The sequence below is a fragment of the Homo sapiens genome, chromosome 1, assembly GCF_000001405.40.
Source record: "Homo sapiens chromosome 1, GRCh38.p14 Primary Assembly".
Lineage (NCBI taxonomy): Eukaryota > Metazoa > Chordata > Mammalia > Primates > Hominidae > Homo > Homo sapiens.
In genome coordinates this window covers 244,938,875-244,956,444 of record NC_000001.11, presented here as the reverse complement: position 1 = coordinate 244,956,444, position 17,570 = coordinate 244,938,875, and the positions used below count along the sequence as shown (strand labels likewise).

At 41.5% G+C, this 17,570-nt stretch overlaps 2 pseudogenes, besides 2 other annotated features; both read right to left on the bottom strand.

Annotated features, from left to right (window-relative positions):
- On the bottom strand, nucleotides 1,482-1,587 carry RNU6-947P (RNA, U6 small nuclear 947, pseudogene; annotated as a pseudogene).
- Nucleotides 12,230-12,543, bottom strand: RN7SKP55 (RN7SK pseudogene 55; annotated as a pseudogene).
- Nucleotides 14,965-15,044: a silencer, noted in NCBI's record as "silent region_2023". NCBI's record gives its function as "represses an Ori minimal core promoter by ATAC-STARR-seq in GM12878 lymphoblastoid cells {active_cell/tissue: GM12878}" and the evidence as "EXISTENCE:reporter gene assay evidence [ECO:0000049][PMID:35858748]".
- Nucleotides 15,285-15,424: an enhancer, noted in NCBI's record as "active region_2848". NCBI's record gives its function as "activates an Ori minimal core promoter by ATAC-STARR-seq in GM12878 lymphoblastoid cells {active_cell/tissue: GM12878}" and the evidence as "EXISTENCE:reporter gene assay evidence [ECO:0000049][PMID:35858748]".

Below are 17,570 nucleotides of genomic sequence, written 5' to 3'. Positions count from 1 at the left end.
CCTCTCAAAGTGCTGAGATTACAGGCGTGAGCCACCGCGCCTGACCAGCATGTGGTGTTTCTTTAATCCTCATGTGGACCATATAAGGGCAAAAAGAATAATGCGTCTTATTCATCCTTATAAGCCATATACCTTTGTTCAATGTCGGAAACAAATACTTGTTGAGCCAAAAATTTAGATAACTTAATTATGAATAAAGCATGATCCGCTTCTGCCGAACATACACTTAAGATATCAGTCATTTGCAAGTTTCATATGTTCAGTTTTCTGGATTTTTCCGTGTCCTAACCATAAGAAGTCAGAAGGCAAAGAATTTGGAGCATATGTCTCAGTTCCTCTACATGAGTTACAATATAGTGCCCTACCCCCTCAGCTCTTTTAGAGAGTGGACAGCAGGCACTACACGTAAACAATTATTTCTGCGGTGTGCAAAGCTGTCATTGCGATACCTGCTATTTGATGCAATGTCCTGTATTCAAAGATTCCTTTACTAATCTCCTATTTAAGTTTGGGCAGTCTTCACTGATGTATGCTGATTGTTTCTTTGTCAGAAAGTAAAACCTTTTTTTTTTCCTTAGCTTCTAGGAAAATCAGTCCTCAATTACAGTAATCCGCTTATCTCAAGTATTTAGTAATCTCTTGCCTCTGTTACTTTTAGAAAATGGTAATAGCTAATGTTTAGAATGCTATGTGCTAGGATCATGGCTAGCATATAGGACTTTAACAGCCACAATGACTCTATGAAGTGTATACTATGACATTTTAGGACACCGTGACCTAGAGAAGCGAGACTTCTTGTCCAAAGACCTGCAGTTAGTATTGACCAAACACAAGTAGCCTGACTCCAACACCTGCACTGCTAACCACTCTCCTGTGTTTTTATCCTCAATTATTCTATTTCACATGGTGTTTTACAAATAAATATATTTCAAGCTTTTGTTTTTAAAAAAAGGAGAAAGTTATTGATCCTAAATTATCAATTGTGTCATAAGTCTTTCTGTAGGTTTTTTTGTTGTTATTTTGGTGTTTTGTTTTGTTTTTTTTAAGACAGAATCAGTCTCGCTTTGTCGACCAGGCTGGAGTGCAGTGGCGCGATCTCGGCTCACTGCAGTCTCTGCTTCCCGGGTTCAAGCAATTCTCCTGCCTCACCCTCCCGAATAGCTGGGATTACAGGCACGTGCCACCACGCCCAGCTAATTTTTTGTATTTTTAGTAGAGACAGGGTTTCACCATGTTGGCCAGAATGGTCTCGAACTCCTGACCTCAGATGATCCGCCCACCTCACCCTCCCAAAGTGCTGAGATTACAGGCGTGAGCCACCGAGCCTGGCTCATTTTTTGTATTTTTAGTAGAGAGGGGATTTCACCATGTTGACCCGGATGGTCTCGAACTCCTGACCTCAGATGATCCACCCGCCTCGGCCTCCCAAAGTGCTGGGATCACAGGCGTGAGCCACCGCCCCGGCCTGCTTTGGTGTTTTTAAAAATATGGAAAGCTTCATGAATTCATGTATCATCCTTGCTCAGGGACCATGCTGATCTTCTCTGTATCATTCTTCTTTTATATTTATAATGGATCTGCTTTTATGTTAGTATCCCATGGAAAGTTTTATTTGGTGTGATGTGCCATTACTCCAGTTTATAATAGACATCCCTCAGTCATTCTCTTCTTGACGTACATGGAACAAGACTATGTGATTTAAGGATATACATTTCATGGCTTCCTCCCTAAATAGTGACACCCACAGCTGAAGCACCCACCCTAGCAACTGAGAGAAAGTAATTGTGTGCTCCAAACAACAGTTTAAAAGTAGGAGGCTGAGGGAGAACCTAAGCTCCACGCCTTTTCCTGAGTCCTTGGCACAGTGATTGCAGTTTTATCTGGCATACCAGTTCCCGGGGTTTCAAATGACAGAATGGCAGCATTAACCCAACTCTCTAAGGCTGCCACTGTAAATTGACTGAGCACAGAGGGTATATAGCTTCTGTCCCCATCCTTTCTAGTTATCTACCAGTCTAGCCATCTGTGTATCTGCACCCCAAATATTTTAAACATTAACCATCCTCTCTCTTACACCTAAAAATGTTGAGGAACTATATATTGTTGTAGTGTATCTAGTACGTGCTAATAAGTACCAAAATCTCAAAATTAATAGGTTTGTAAATGGTGCTATTGCAGATAAATAGAATGTGTCATCTTAGTTTATTTATTTGCATGCATATGTATATGCATGTATGCATATATATGTGTGCATGTTTTCTGCTATAGAGAATAGAACAAACCTGAAATGGAGGTTGGAGAATTTTATCCACATGTAGAATCAGTGTGTGCCTGCGCTTCCTTTTCTCTGTTGCAACCACTGTCAACTGCTTTCCATGACTTAGTATCTTAGATTGAATTTCTGCTCTTGCTATGTTTAGAATCTATTTTTAACTTGGCCAACTGATTTACTATGGAGCATGTGAGCGTTGCTATTTTAAAATATATAATAGTTGTCCCCAGAACCCGCTAAAAACTCTATAGAAAAACCATTGTGGGCCCGTCCCATTCCATGGCACATTTTCCAGAATGTAGGGTAATGATTTTAAAACAAAATAAGCATTTACTTAGTTCCTAACGTGTATCAGGCAACAGGCTGTGTGCTTATTTATGTTTTCTTAGTTAATCCTCAAAAAAATCCTGTGTTGGTAGAGATTTCTTGCCTTACCAAGCACATTGTAACCCTGCATGTAAGTATGAAGCTGTGTACTGAGAGTAAAGATCGTGGGTATTCATGCCAATCCATCCTGAATTCACATCCTACCTTTGCCACTTGTTAGCTACGTGAACTTCAGCAAACTACCAAACCTCTCTGAGACTCAGGTTTTTCATTTGTAAAATAAGAACAATAATACTTCCTTGCAGATTGTTATGAAGAAATATTGATGGAGTTGACGTAGCATATTATGCACTTCTACAGGGTCTGGCACAAGCAGTAACACAGGAAAAAGTAGTTACTGCTATTCTTTTTTTTTATTATTCTGAATTTTTTTCGTGTCCTGGAAAAGAAAAAAAAAATTCAAAGAGTTTGGAAGATGCAGGTTAAAGTAGCATGTAGTTAAAGGGTCACTACACTGCTCCTAGAACTCTTCGACCTGGGCAGTTTCAATTTGAGCGGCTGGAAGCTGTAGTAATCCAGTGTGGCTTTTGAACAACTGCCAGGCCTTTCCGTTGGGGCCTTTCGCCCCTGGGAGTCTTCAGACATCTGGAGGAACTTCATGAGTAGTCCCTGGTTATTGTTTAACAGAATATTAGCTTTGAACAGGTGTGTCTTTGCCTGCTGGGTCTCAACGCAACTTATGAAGAAGCAACTCGTCATACACCTACAGGGCAAATTCTTGGTTCTTATATCTGCATCCAACTGGGGCTGGGTTAAAAACCACGTGTAATGATTTCAGAATCCCTACAGTGCTCTCTAGGAGACCAACTGGGTGCTTTCTGGATCAAGGGCCCAACGAGCTTTTCTGGATGGTCTTGAGATGGTGCCTTTTGACTTTGAGTTTTCCCTGAATGCCAACCAATACAACAGATTTGGTCTATCTCCTCTGCTCAAGTGGCTCTTTAAGTTTGGTTTTCTTTACTGCCAGCTATGGAACTATTACATTACGAGACATTGATACAGTTTCTTCAGTTTAAAGGCAGGAGTTACGAAACCTTGGCTACTGAGGTTGACGTGGAAGCAGGAAGGGGTCTTATTTTGGCTGGGTACCTACTATAGTGCCAGGAACTTCACAAGGGAGGTAATACCATTGCACCAGGCAAGTTGGGGGAACTTTTCTCCCAACACAACTATATTTGCTTAGCATCAAATCTCATATTTAGCTTATTTCTGTTTTCTTTTCTCTTTCTCTTTCTTTTCCTTCCTTCCTTCCTTCCTCCCTTCCTCTCTCCCTCCCTCCCTCCCTCCTTTCTTTCTTTCTTCTTTCTTTCTTTCTTTCTTTTTCTTTCTTTTTCTTTCTTTCTTTCTTTCTCTTTCTTTCTTTCTTTTTCTCTCCTTCTTTCTCTCTTTCTTTTTTCTTTCTTTCTTCTTTCCTTTTTAAGGCGAGGTCTCACACTGTCACCCAGGCTGGAGTGCAGTGGCATGATCATGGCTCACTGCAGCCTCTACCTCCCACGCTCAAGTGACCTTCCCACCTCAGCCTCCCAAGTAACTGGGACTACAGGCTCATTCCACCACACCCAGCTAACTTTATGTTTATTTTTTGTAGGATGAGGACTCACTATGTTGTCCAGGCTGGTCTCAAACCCCTGGACTCAAGCGATCCACCCACCTCAGCCTGTCAATGTGCTGGGATTACAGGCCTGAGTCACCACGCCAGGCCTTTCATAGTAGTTTAAAAGCAAATTGTTTTATATGACTATGGCAAGAAATAAATCATTTTCTTCTGGTTAACTAAACAAAGTGAAAAGAAATTCTGAGCCATCATCCATTGAGTGTCTACTGATAATCTATGTCTCCTGGCTGGCGTGCAATGGCTCAGGCCTATAATCCCAACAATTTTGGAGGCTGAGGCAGGCAGATTGTTTGAGCCGGAGTTCAAGACCAGCCTGGGCAACGTGGCGAAACCCGTCTCTACTAAACATGCAAAAAATTAGCCGGATGTAGTGAGTGGCACACGCCTGCAGTCCCAGCTACTTAGGGGGCTGAGATGGGAGGGTCGCTTTTTTTTCTTTTTAGACAAGGTCTCACTCTGTCTCTCAAGCTGGAGTGCAGTGGCACAATTATAGCTCACTGCAACATCAAACTCCTGGGCTCAAGCGATCCTCTTGCCTCAGCCTCCTGAGTAACTAGGACTACAGGTGTGTGCCACCACGTCTGGCTAATTTTTGTATTTTTAGTAGAGACAGGGTCTCCCTGTGTTGCCCAGGTTGGTCTCAAACTGCTGGCCTCAAGTGATCCTCCCACCTCAGCCTCCCAAAGTGTTGGCATTATAGGCATGAGCCACTGTGCCCGGCCAAAATTTTTAATATCTCTCTCTTGTGCACAATCCTGTTTAGAAAACTCTTGTTTTATTTGCCTTAAATAGGCAGTCAGGGTTTATGTAAATTGTTGATTGTTCATATACAATTTTATCAGCAACAATCAAATATACAATCACAAATCTTATACAGTTGCCCAAACTATTCTAAAAAAATAGATTTTGAATTTTAATGTCTAAATCTAGCTTACTAGCCAGGCATGGTGGCTCATGCCTGTAATCTCAGCACTTTGGGAGGCCAAGGCAGGCAGGTCACCTGAGGTCAGGAGTTTGAGACCACCCTGGCCAACATGGTGAAACCCCATCTCTACTAAAAATATAAAAATTAGCTGGGTGTGGTAGCGGGCATCTGTAATCCCAGCTATTCAGGAGGCAGAGGTAGGAGAATCGCTTAAACTCAGGAGGCGGAGGTAGCAGTGAGCCGAGGCTGTGCCACTGCACTCCAGTCTGTGCAACAGAGCAAGACTCTGTCTCAAAGTCAGTCAATCAATCAATCAATCAATATAGCTTACTATCCTGTTCATTGTATCTAAAAAGTGTCCGTGTTTAAAATTTTGGTGTTCTTGGTAAAATATTTGCAATGAATTGGGCATCTTTGTAGAAACAGTTTAGTTTTCATTTGAATGTCCAGCAGGCAGAGATTAGAAATTGTTATAAAGTCAATCTATTTTAATGTGGTTCATTTAACTGATTTAATCCATATATTATCAGACTTGAATGGGACTTTTCAGGGAATTTAGTTTGCCTTCTTTGTATTTAAGGCTTTCAGATTTTATAGAAGTAAACTCAGTGAAAAGGATAGTGTTATTTAAAATTATTTTGCCACTATTTAAAAAGATTAACTATTTTTTCAATCAGTGGCTCACGCCTGTAATCCCAGCACTTTGGGAGGCTGAGGCGGGCGGATCACAAGGTCAGAAATTCGAGACCAGCCTGGCCAATACGGTGAAACCCCGTCTCTACTAAAAATACAAAAATTAGTTGAGCATGGTGGCGGGCGCCTGTAATCCCAGCTACTCGGGAGGCTGAGGCAGGAGAATCACTTGAACCCGAGAGGCAGAGTTGCAGTGGGCTGAGATCGCACCACTGCACTCCAGCCTGGGTGACAGAGCGAGACTCCATCTCAAAAAAAAAAATAAATAAATAAATAAATAATAAATAAAATAATAATAATATATGCACAAGGTACAAAATTCAAAAGTTACAACAGCTATATAGTGAAAAAGCAGCCTGCCTCCCTTCTTTCCCCCGAACTGATATCCCTCTCTAGATATAGTTGTCAGCTTTTTGTTTCTCTCTACTTTTTAAAAACCAGATGCAAATATTTAAGTTCTTCGAGCAGTGTCTGGTTACCTTCCTTTTAGAATAACAAAAAAAAAAAAATGGCATAGCATAGCATCTTTCCAGAATCCTGTACAAGGTGTTTATTTTACATATGAAACACAGAGAAAATAAAATGTGCTTAGTTTTCACTGAGCCTTGGGAAAGTCTTTTATTGCATATTAATACAATAATGATAGTAAGCTAACATTATATATAACTACAATGACCATATATTGTATATTTTAAATAAATACAAAACTCATTGAAATTCAAGATAATAGTCTTAATATTTGATAATCATTTTTGTATATACTATTTCTCTGATTTGTAAATTCTTGAATTAAAACTTCTCATGAATTTATATAGGAATTGAAAAAAATCTAATTTCCCCTAACTGGAATTCAGTGCTGCTTTTCTAATTTTTTTTATATGCAAGTTCAAAAAGTAGTACGTATGATCTGTGCTCCCAGAAACTGACCTGAAATAAGGGGGAAAAACAAGTAGTATGTACTGGACATTTTACGTATATTATGTCTAATTCTCATAACAGCCTTGCAAGATTGGGTTTGTTGCCCTCTTTGGAGATGAGGAACCTGAGGCTCTGAGAATTGAAGTGACTTGCCACAGGTTCACAGCAAGAAGTGCAAAGCTGAGGTGTACACCTAGTTCACACCCACATCCTGGTCCACAGTGTTGTTAGAAACACAGAATCTACTAGTCTGGAAAAAGGTGGGATGCTTGACAGTGTGGATCTCACTTCATTAAGGCACGTGCCAAAAGCCTGAAGACATGTTCCTAAACAAAATGGAGTTAGGGATGCTAGAGGAAATAGGTTAGGTGAAGTGATAACAGATAAAATAACCCTGTTCTCTAAAGAGCTGATTCACAGCCAACGTATTTCTGGGAGTAGGTACAATAGGGCTCTGTCCTTGGCCCTGTTCTAATCAACGTCTTATTAATGCTTGAGACCAGAGCAGTGAGTAAAATATGGTAGAACTTATAAATAACTATTGAACAAATTAATGAATGAATAAGGATATTTGTGTTGTGCTGATCATAGCTTTATTTTATTTTATTTTATTTTATTTTATTTTATTTTATTTTGAAACAAAGTCTCGCTCTGTCACCCAGGCTGGAGTGCAGTGGCACGATCTCAGCTCGCTGCAACCTCTGACTCCTGAGTTCAAGCGATTCTTGTGCCTCAACCTCCTGAGTGGCTGGGATTACGGGTGCATGCCACCATGCCAGGCTAATTTTTGTATTTTTAGTAGAAATGGGGTTTCACCATGTTGGCCAGGCTGGTCTCAAACTCTTAACCTCAGGTGATCCGCCCGCCTTGGCCTCCCAAAATGCTGGGATTACAGGTGTGCACCACCGCACCCGGCCAGATTTTTCACTGCTGAGTTGAGTTTCTTGTATATTCTGCATATTATTCTCTTGTCAGATGAATAGTTTGTAAATATTTTCTCCCATTCAACAGGTTATCTCTTCATTCTGTTGATTTTCTGTGCTGTGCAGAAGCCTTTTAATTTAATATAGTCCCATTTGTCTATTTGTTTTAGTTGCCTCTGTTTTTGAGGTCTTAGCCATAAAATATTTGCCTAGACCAATGTCCTGGAGTGTTTCCTTCTAGTAGTTCTACAGTTTGGGGCCTTACATTTAAGTCTTTAATCCATCTTGAGTTGATTGTTGTATATGGTGAGAGACAGAGGTCTACTTTCATTCTTTCGCCTATGACAGTCCAGTTTTCCCAGCACCATTTATTGAAGAGGGTGTCCTTTCCTCAGTGTATGTTATTGGCACCTTTGTCATAAATCAGTTGGCTATAAATATGTGGATTTATTTCTGGGTTCTCTATTCTGTTCCACTGGTCTATGTGTCTATTTTTATACCAGTACAGTGCTGTTTGGGTTATTGTAGCCTTGTAATATGTTCAGAAGTCAGATGGAAAAATGCCTCCAGCTTTGTTCTTTTTGCTCAAGATTGCTTTGGCTATTCAGGCTCCTTTTTGGTTTCATGTGAATTTTAGGGTTGTTTTTCTTTCTATGAAGAATGTCACTGGTATTTTGGTAGATTCATTAATCTGTAGATTGCTTTGGGTAGTATGGCCATTTTAACAATTCTAATTCTTCCAATCCGTGAGCATAGGGTGTCTTTCCTTTTGTTTGTGTCCTCGACAATTTCTTTCATCAGTGCTTTGTAGTTTTCCCTGTAGAGAGCTTTCACCTTCTTGGTTAAATTTGTGTGCAGAGTTTTTGTGTGTGCATAGTTATTGTACGTGGGATTGCCTTCTTGATTTATATTTCAGCCAGTTCTTCATTGGTATATAGAAACACTACTGATTTTTGTATGTTGATTTTGCATCCTGATACTTTACTTAATTTGTCTATTAGTTCTAAGAGTTTTGTGGTAGAGTCTAGGTTTTTCTATTTTTTTTTTCTTTGTATAAGGAGTCTGACACCATAGAGATTTTTCTAAATATAAGCATGTCATCTGCAAAGAGGGACAATTTGACTCCTTCTTTTCCCATTTGGATGCCTTTTATTCCTTTCTCTTGCCTGATTTCTCTTGCTAGGATTTCCAGTACTATGTTGAATACGGGTGGTGAAAGCATAAATCCATCTTACAACCTTTTAATACAGTACTTTTAATGTTAGGCACAGTTTGTTTCTGTCGCTTGTGATAAAAAACAAGAAAGATATATATCTACTTGTTCTTCAGTGCACATTGTATATTCAGCGAGGTTCTTGGCTTATGATATCTGCTTGGACAATGACAAAAATAGGTAATCAATGCTGGCTAACATTAGCAAGGAGGAGAGAAAAGTTGAAGCTAGTGGCTGGACACTAGGGCTATTTTTATTCCCTATTATTGTGAGTTTTTGAGAGAGATTCCAAATGCTTCCTGGAATAATCCAACATTGCTTGCATTTTGTAGGGAGTTCTGTACTAATGTCTATATGACCTACGAACTATTCTTGCCAAAGAAATTGAACCTGAATCTACTCAAGCTTCCAAAGCTTTCATTTACAGAAAATGCTGGGGAATGTAAAGTTAAATGACACCAGGAGGGAGCAAACAAGCAAATCCAGGATGTGAGATATTTTATACATCAATTAAACAAGTATCTTCTATAAGTCAATGACATGTTTTAAATAAGTAGGGCACCATGAATGTATATACCTAATATGTACCCACAAAAATTAAAAATAAAAAAAATTTTAGATGCGTTGGAAGAAGAGGACTCAAAATCAAAAGAAACTTGAGATATTGTAACACCCAAATGTAATATGTACATTCTGATTCAAACATACCAATTGTGACATACAAAGAAGAGTACGTTTACAAGTAACAATCCAAAAAGAAAATTTCTCCAAAACCCATTATTGATATAGTGCCATAGAACACTTTGATGTTAAATAATATGATTTTCATGTAATAGTAATAAAAATATACCCTGCAAAATAAAAAACAGTAGTCTGAGATGTATGAGTTCTAATTATGATTATTGTTCTGTGAACTTGAACACATTACATAATACAGTCAGCTGTAAAATGGAAAGACCAATACCTCATGAAATGGTTATTCAAAGCACCTAATAAAAGTTATGGTAAAAACATGCTAAGCGTAAGTGCTAAAGCTACAGCTTTCAAATAATAGTCCCATAGTGTGGTGGGCAACCTCTGGGGTGGCCCTCAGTGATCTTCTCCTGCTGAGATTCCCACCCTTATGTAACTCCCTTCCCTTGAGTATGATGTCACTTCACAAATTAGGTTACAAAAAGGGGCCAGGCCTGTAATCCTGTAATCCCAGCACTTCGGGAGGCCAAGGCAGGTGGATCACCTGAGGTCAGGAGTTTGAGACCAGCCTGGCCAGCATGGTGAGACCCGGTCTCTACTAAAAATACCAAAATTGGCCAAGCGTGGTGGCGGGCACCTGTAATACCAGCTACTCAGGAGGCTGAGGCATGAGAATCTCCTGAACCTGGGAGGTGGAGGTTGCAGTGAGCTGAGATCATGCCACTGCACTCCAGCCTGGGTGACAGAGCAAGACTCTGTCTCAAAAAATAAAATAAAATAAAATAAAAATACAAAAATTAGCCGGGTGAGTTGTGGCCAGGCGTGGTGGCTCATGCCTGTAATCCCAATGCATTGGGAGGCCAAGGCAGGTGACCACAAGGTCAAGAGTTCATGACCAGCCTGGCCAACAGGGTGAAACCCCGTCTCTACTAAAAATACAAAAAAATTAGCCGGGCGTGGTGGTGGGCACCTGTAATCCCAGCTACTCAGGAGGCTGAGGCATGAGAATCTCTTGAACCCAGGAGGCAGAGGTTGCAGTGAGCCGAGATCAGGCCACTGCACTCCAACCTGGGTGACAGAGCAAGACTCTGTCTAAAAAGAAACAAAAAAGAAGAACAAAGAAATTAGGTTACAAAAAGATTAGGATTCGAGGTTAAGTTACCAGCAGAAGGATAATGAATGAAAAAAGTCATCAGTCTATCCCTACCTCTACACAGATTTTGCCTAAAGTAATCTCAGATCGTGACCTTGAACTGTTGATTTTGGGAGCTGGGTGATGGATAACAGAAAGGATCATTGTATGTTTCACTGGACTATTTTTAAAATCTTAACCATGTTTTTTTTTTTGAGACGGAGTTTCACTCTTGTTGTGAAACAGACCTCCAGAACTCTTTCACCTTGCAGAACTGAAACTCAATACCCATTAACCAACAGCTCTCCTTTTCCCTTCCCCATAGCTCCAGGTAACCATCATTCCTTCCACTTTCTGTTTCTATGAGTTTGACTCCTCCAGAAACCTCATGTAGGTGGAATCTACAGTATTTGTCCTCAAGGTTCATCTATGTTATAGCTTGTGACAGGATTTTCTTCCTTTTTGAGGCTGCATAGTATTCCATCATGTATATATACCAAATTTTGTTTATCTATTCATTCATTGATGGATATTTGGGTTGCTTCCACCTCTTGGCTATTGTGGATAATGCTGTCATGAACATTGGTTTGCAAATATCTCTTCGAGAGCCTTCTTTTATTTCTTTTGGATATGTACTCAGAAGTGAGGTTGCTGGGTCATATGGTAACGGTATTTTTAAATTTGTGAGAAACCATCATGCTGTTTTTCATGGTAATCACACCATTTTGCTATCCCGCCAGCCATTCACAGGGTTTCCAATGCCTCCACATCCCCACCAACATTTGCCATCTTCTGGGGTTTTTTTGGGTGGGGGATTGGGGGGAATAGTAGCTATCCTAATGGGTGTTAGGTGGTATCTCATTGAGGTTTTGATTTGTATTTTTCTAATGATCAGTGATGTTGGGTATCTTTTCATGTACCTGTTGGCCACGTGTATGTCATCTTTGGAAAAATGTCTATATAACTCCCTTGCCCATTTTTTATAGTTTTTTTTCTTTTTTTCATTAAACTTTTTATTATTTTTATTTTATTTATCTTTTTTTTTACAGAGACAGGGTCTTGCAATATTCCTCAGGCTCACCTTGAATTCCTGGACTTAAGTGATCCTCCCAATTCAACCTCTTGAGTAGCTTTTGACTACAGGCGTGCACCACTGTGCCTAGGTTTTTGCCCATTTTTAAATAGGATTATTTGATATTTTGTTGTTGAGTTGTAGAAATTACTTATATATTAAATAATTGTGAATATTTTGGATGTTAACCTCTTACCAAATATATGATTTACAAACGTTTTCTTCCATTTTGTAGGTTGCCTTTTTACTCTGTTGATTGTGTCTTTCGATGCACACAAGTTTTTAAGTTTGAGGTAGTCTCATTTGTCTTTCTTTCTTTCTTTCTTTCTTTCTTTCTTTCTTTCTTTCTTTCTTTTTCTTTCTTTTTCTTTCTTTCTTCCTTTTTTAAGAAAGGCAGAGTGCCACATGCAGCACCTCATTTGGATGTGTCTGGAGTCTTGGAAGCTTAACTACCCTACATTCTCCTACAAATGGACCTTGAGAGCTTGTTTGAAGGTTCTAGCCGGGGAGTGCAGCTACTCTTATACCCTTGACCGGAGACCAGTCCTCCTCTATCTGGGATGGTTGTCCTCTTAAACCAAGCGCACAGCTTCGGGAGGCGAGGGAGGAAGGGGACACGTGCCTAGTCAGCCAGGTCAGCCAAATCAACCCTGGCAATCAATGGGGTGACAGGTGCCACAGCCAGATCACCCTCACATCCATATTTTTTTTAACTGTACTTTTGGTGTTGTATATGAGAAATTATTGTATATGGGAAATTCAATGCCATAACGTTTTTATCCTATGTTTTCTTGAAGGTATTTTAGAGTTTGAGGTTAATTTTTAACTAATGTAATGTGGTATAAAATAAGGGTCTAACTTCATTCTTTTACATGTGGACATCCAGTTTTTCTAGCACCATTTGTTGAACAAACTGTCCTTTCCTCATCAAGTGGTCTTGGCCCCCTTGTTGAAGAATATTTGGCTATGCAAGAATTTATCTCTGGGCTCTCTGTGCTACTCCATTGGTCCATATGTTTCTCTCTATACCAATAGCACACTGTTTGAATTACTGTAGATTCGTAATGTATTTTGAAATCAGGATGCTTTCGTCTTACAAATTTGTTCTTTTTCAAAATTGTTTTGGCTCTTTGGGGTCTCTTGAGATTCCATATGAATTTTAGGATCTATTTTTCTATTTCTGCCACAAACACCATTGATATTTTGATAGGGATTGTATTAAATCTGCAAATGGCTTTGTGTAGTATTGACATCTTAACAATATTAAATCTTCCAATTCATGAACGCAGAATGTCTTTCTATTTATTTGTGTCTTCTTTGATTTCCTTCAACAGTGTTTTATACTTTTTAGTGTACAAGTCATTCACCTCCTTGGTTAGGTAAATTCCTAAGTATTTATTTATTTATTTTTAGAAGGAGTTTTGCTCTTGTTGCCCAGGCTGGAGTGCAGTGGGGCGATCTCGGCTCACTGCAACCTCTGCCTCCTGGGTTCAAGCAATTCACCTGCCTCAGCCTCCCTAGTAGCTTGGATTACAGGCATGTGCCACCACGCCTGGCTAATTTTTATATAGAAGGGGTTTCACCATGTTGGTCACACTGGTCTCGAACTCCTGACCTCAGGTGATCTGCCTGCCTTGGCATCCCAAAGTGCTGGGATTACAGGTGTGAGCCACCACGCCCGGCCAATTCCTATTTTATTCTTTTTGGTGCCATCCTAAATGGAATTGTTTTCTTAATTTCTTTTCCTGACTGTTCATTGTTCATGCATAGAAACATCCCATTAACAACAGCAAAAAAAAAAAAAAAAAAAAAACAGGAATACAACTTTTCTGTTCAGAAATTTTCATATTCCTGCTATTTTGTTCTTTACTGATGCTCCAGAGGAATTGTTTTATGGACTTGATGTCCATTTGGAATAAATGGAGAATTCCGTGGAAATCAGAATGTCAGTAACATACACATTTGCTTAAAAGGCTGAACAGACTTGCAAGTACCCCATATATATACAATTAGAAACACGAATAGGATCATTCATAATTCAAAAGAAACTTGTTTGCATAGCACCAACAGCAGAGAAATTTGGGGGCCGGAGGAGGGGGCCTCTGTGATTACCCAGATCCTTGAAAGGAAATATTAGGCCCCTACATCAGTTGAGACTCTTTTACTTACACTTGGCAGAAAACCCTTCATAAACTGCCTCAAGGGGAAAAGAGGATGCGCATAATGGCAATGTTCTGAGGAACTGGATTTGAGCTTGGCTTGATCCAGAGTTGAAATAATGTTACCACCTCCAACACCATCCTTAGACCAGAGCAAGGGGGCCTGCGCTGAACCCTGCACTGGAGGGCCCTGATATCACAAATCTGAAAATGGAGAAACATTTATCTGTCAGTTTAGGAAATTTTTTTTTCGAGACAAATTCTGACTCTGTCACTCAAGTTGGAGTGCAGTGGTGTGATCTCAGCTCACTGCAACCTCCACCTCCCCAATTCAAGTGCTTCTGCTGCCTCAGCCTCCTGAATAGCTGGGATTAAGGGTGCCCACCACCACTAATTTTTTTTTTTTTTTTGAGACGAGTCTCACTCTGTCTCCCAGGCTGGAGTGCAGTGGCGCGATCTTGGCACACTGCAACCTCCACCTCCCGGGTTCAAGCAATTCTCCTGCCTCAGCCTCCCTAGTAGCTGGGACTACAGGTGTCTGCCACCACGCCCAGCTAATTTTTTGTATTTGTTTTTAGGAGAGATGGGGTTTCACAGTGTTAGCCAGGATGGTCTCGATCTCCTGACCTCATGATCTGCCCGCCTCAGCCTCCCAAAGTGCTGGGATTACAGGCGTGAGCCAACGCACCCAGCCTTAATTTTTGTATTTTTATTTTGTATTTTTGTATTTTTAGAATTTTAACCCCAACAGGGTTTCACCATGTTGGCTAGGCTGGTCTCAAACTCCTGACTTCAGGTGATGTACCCACCTCGGCCTCCCAAAGTGCTGGGATTACAGGAGTGAGCCACCGTACCCGGCCAGGAAAGATTTTAGATTTTTTTTTTTTTTGAGACAGAGTTTTGCTCTTGTTGCCCAGGCTGGAATGCAATGGCACGATCTCAGCTCACCAAAACCTCCGCCTCCCAGGTTCAAGCAATTCTCCTGCCTCATCCTCCCGAGTAGCTGGGATTACAGGCGTGAGCCACCGTGCCCAGCCAGATTTTAGAATTTGATGACTACTGAGTGGAGGGGAATTACAGGAGAGAGATGCAGGTACATCCCCAGTGCAGAAGTGAAAGTCTTTTGGTTGTTTCATTTGGCTGCACCAGGCGCAGGCCTGTAGGCCTGCGTCGTCCAACGTCTACACACGGCTGTTGAACACTTAACATTTAGCTATTCGAAATTGAGATGTAAGCGTAGAATACACACTGGATCTTGAAGATTAGTACAAAAGAAATAAGTAAAATGCCTCATTAATAATTTTTTATATTGGCGACATATGTGTGTGTCTGTGTGTGTGTGTGTGTGTGTTTTGAGACAGGATCTCATTCTGTCACCAAGGATGGAACACAATGGCACGATCACAGCTCACTGCAGCCTCTGCCTTCCCGACTCAAGCCTTCCTCCCACCTCAGCCTCGCAAGTAGCTGGAACTATAGGCGCACACCACCATGCCCAGCTTATTTTTGTATTTTTTGTAGAGACAGGGTCTCTCCATGTTGGCCAGGATGGTCTTGAACTCCTGGCCTCAAATGATCTGCCCCCTTGCCCTCCCAAAGTGCTGGGATTTCAGGCGTACACCTCCACGCCTGGTCAGCTATATGTTGAAATGATAATATTTTCATCTCTTTCTTTTAACTTTTTATAATGTCACTGCCAATATTGGTTTCATTACGTATGTGACTTGCATTCTATCCCTATCAGGCAGCACTTTGTCTGGGCCGACTGAGTTTCCCAGAAAACCCCACTTTCCCTCTCCTCTGCTCTGGCAGTTTGGGGAGGTGCTTAGAACTGCTTGAAATGTGTGGGGAGAGGGGAACCTGCCTACCCCAGCTCTCTGGGTGATTGACAGGTCAGTCCCCTTCCCGGGAGTTTGCCCAGATGACCTGGAGTCAATCCCCTTCCTGCCCAGCTCCCGCCATGCCTGACTGGCGCCCTTCAGCTGCTGTTGCATAGGGCGTCACAGAGCAGGCGTCCCTAGAAGCTCCCTTGGGACCCACGGGGGCAACCCCAGGACAGGAACCTGTTCAGAGTGGTAGAGAATGGCACCATCCTACTGCCCCAAGGGGGAGGTGGAGGAAAGGCTTTCTAGTTTTAATGAGGGGCCAGCTGTGGCTGCCAGGGTGATAGAATGGAATTTTATTTATTTATTTATTTATTTATTTATTTATTTATTTATTACTTTTGGGTTTTTTTGAGATGGAGTCTCACTCTGTCACCCAGGCTGGAGTGCAGTCGTGCAATCTCGACTCATTGCAACCTCCGCCTCCCGGGTTCACACCATTCTTCTGCCTCAGCCTGCCAAGTGGCTGGGACTACAGGCGCCCGCTACTAAGCCCGGCTCGTTTTTTTGTATTTTTAGCAGAGTGGGGGTTTCGCCATGTTGGCCAGGCTGGTCTCAAACTCCTGACCTCAGGTGATCCACCTGCCTCGGCCTCCCAAAGTGTTGGGATTACAGGCGTGAGCCACCGCGCCCAGCCTACAATGGAATTTAATGAATACTGTCATAGGACAGTAAATACTGTACTCCCAAATTCACACATTTCTAGAGAGATTTTCTTCCCCTCTCCCCACCCCCACCTTTTTGGCCACGGGTATTTGGAATATGAGGATTGGACCAGACCTTAAGATGACTGTCAGGAATCCGCTTTAGGCCAGGTGCGGTGGCTTGAGTCTGTGATCCCAGCTACTTGGGAGGCTCAGGCAGAGGCCAGGAGTTCGAGACCAGCCTGGGCAACACAGCAAGACTCCTATCTCCAAAATAAAAAATAAGTTAAAAAAAAAAAGGGATCTGCTTTAGCCCAAATCTACCCCTGCACCAACCTCCCTGGGATATCCGGTGCTTCCACAAAGACCACTCGGCTTCCATCCAGCTTAAGACAACCAGAGTGCATACTATATTTTCTATGCTTGCTTTATACCACATTATTCATTTTTCATTTAATCGTTTGATATGCTATTTAAGGTACTTTTCTAGGTATTTGGATTCTGACATCCCATCTGACTAAGGAGCTTACTGTCTTCCTTACTCTTAGACTGTTCCTGAGTGTTCTGGCGCAGTGGACACTCGATTGCTATTGACTATCAGTGGAACCTATTATCGGACTCCCCTGGAAAGAGGTCTTGGCCACCAGTATAGGCCATTCCACTCTATAACTTCCAGGTCATTTACTAGGCACAAGACCATCATGACCACTCTAGTTAGCATGCAAAACACAGGAGGCAATATCTGGTCATGACTGGATCATTGCTCTGCATATCTGATAAAAACAACAACAATCTGGCCACGCACAGTGGCTCACGCCTGTAATCCCAGCACTTTGGGAGGCCGAGGCGGGCAGATCACGAGGTCAGGAGATCGAGGCCATCCTGGCCAACATGGTGAAACCCCATCTCTACTAAAAATACAAAAATTAGCTGGACGTGGTGGTACGTACGTGCCTGTAATCCCAACTACTCAGGAGGCTGAGGCAGGAGAATTGCTTGAACCCGGGAGGCGGAGATTGCAGTGAGCCGAGATTGTGCCAC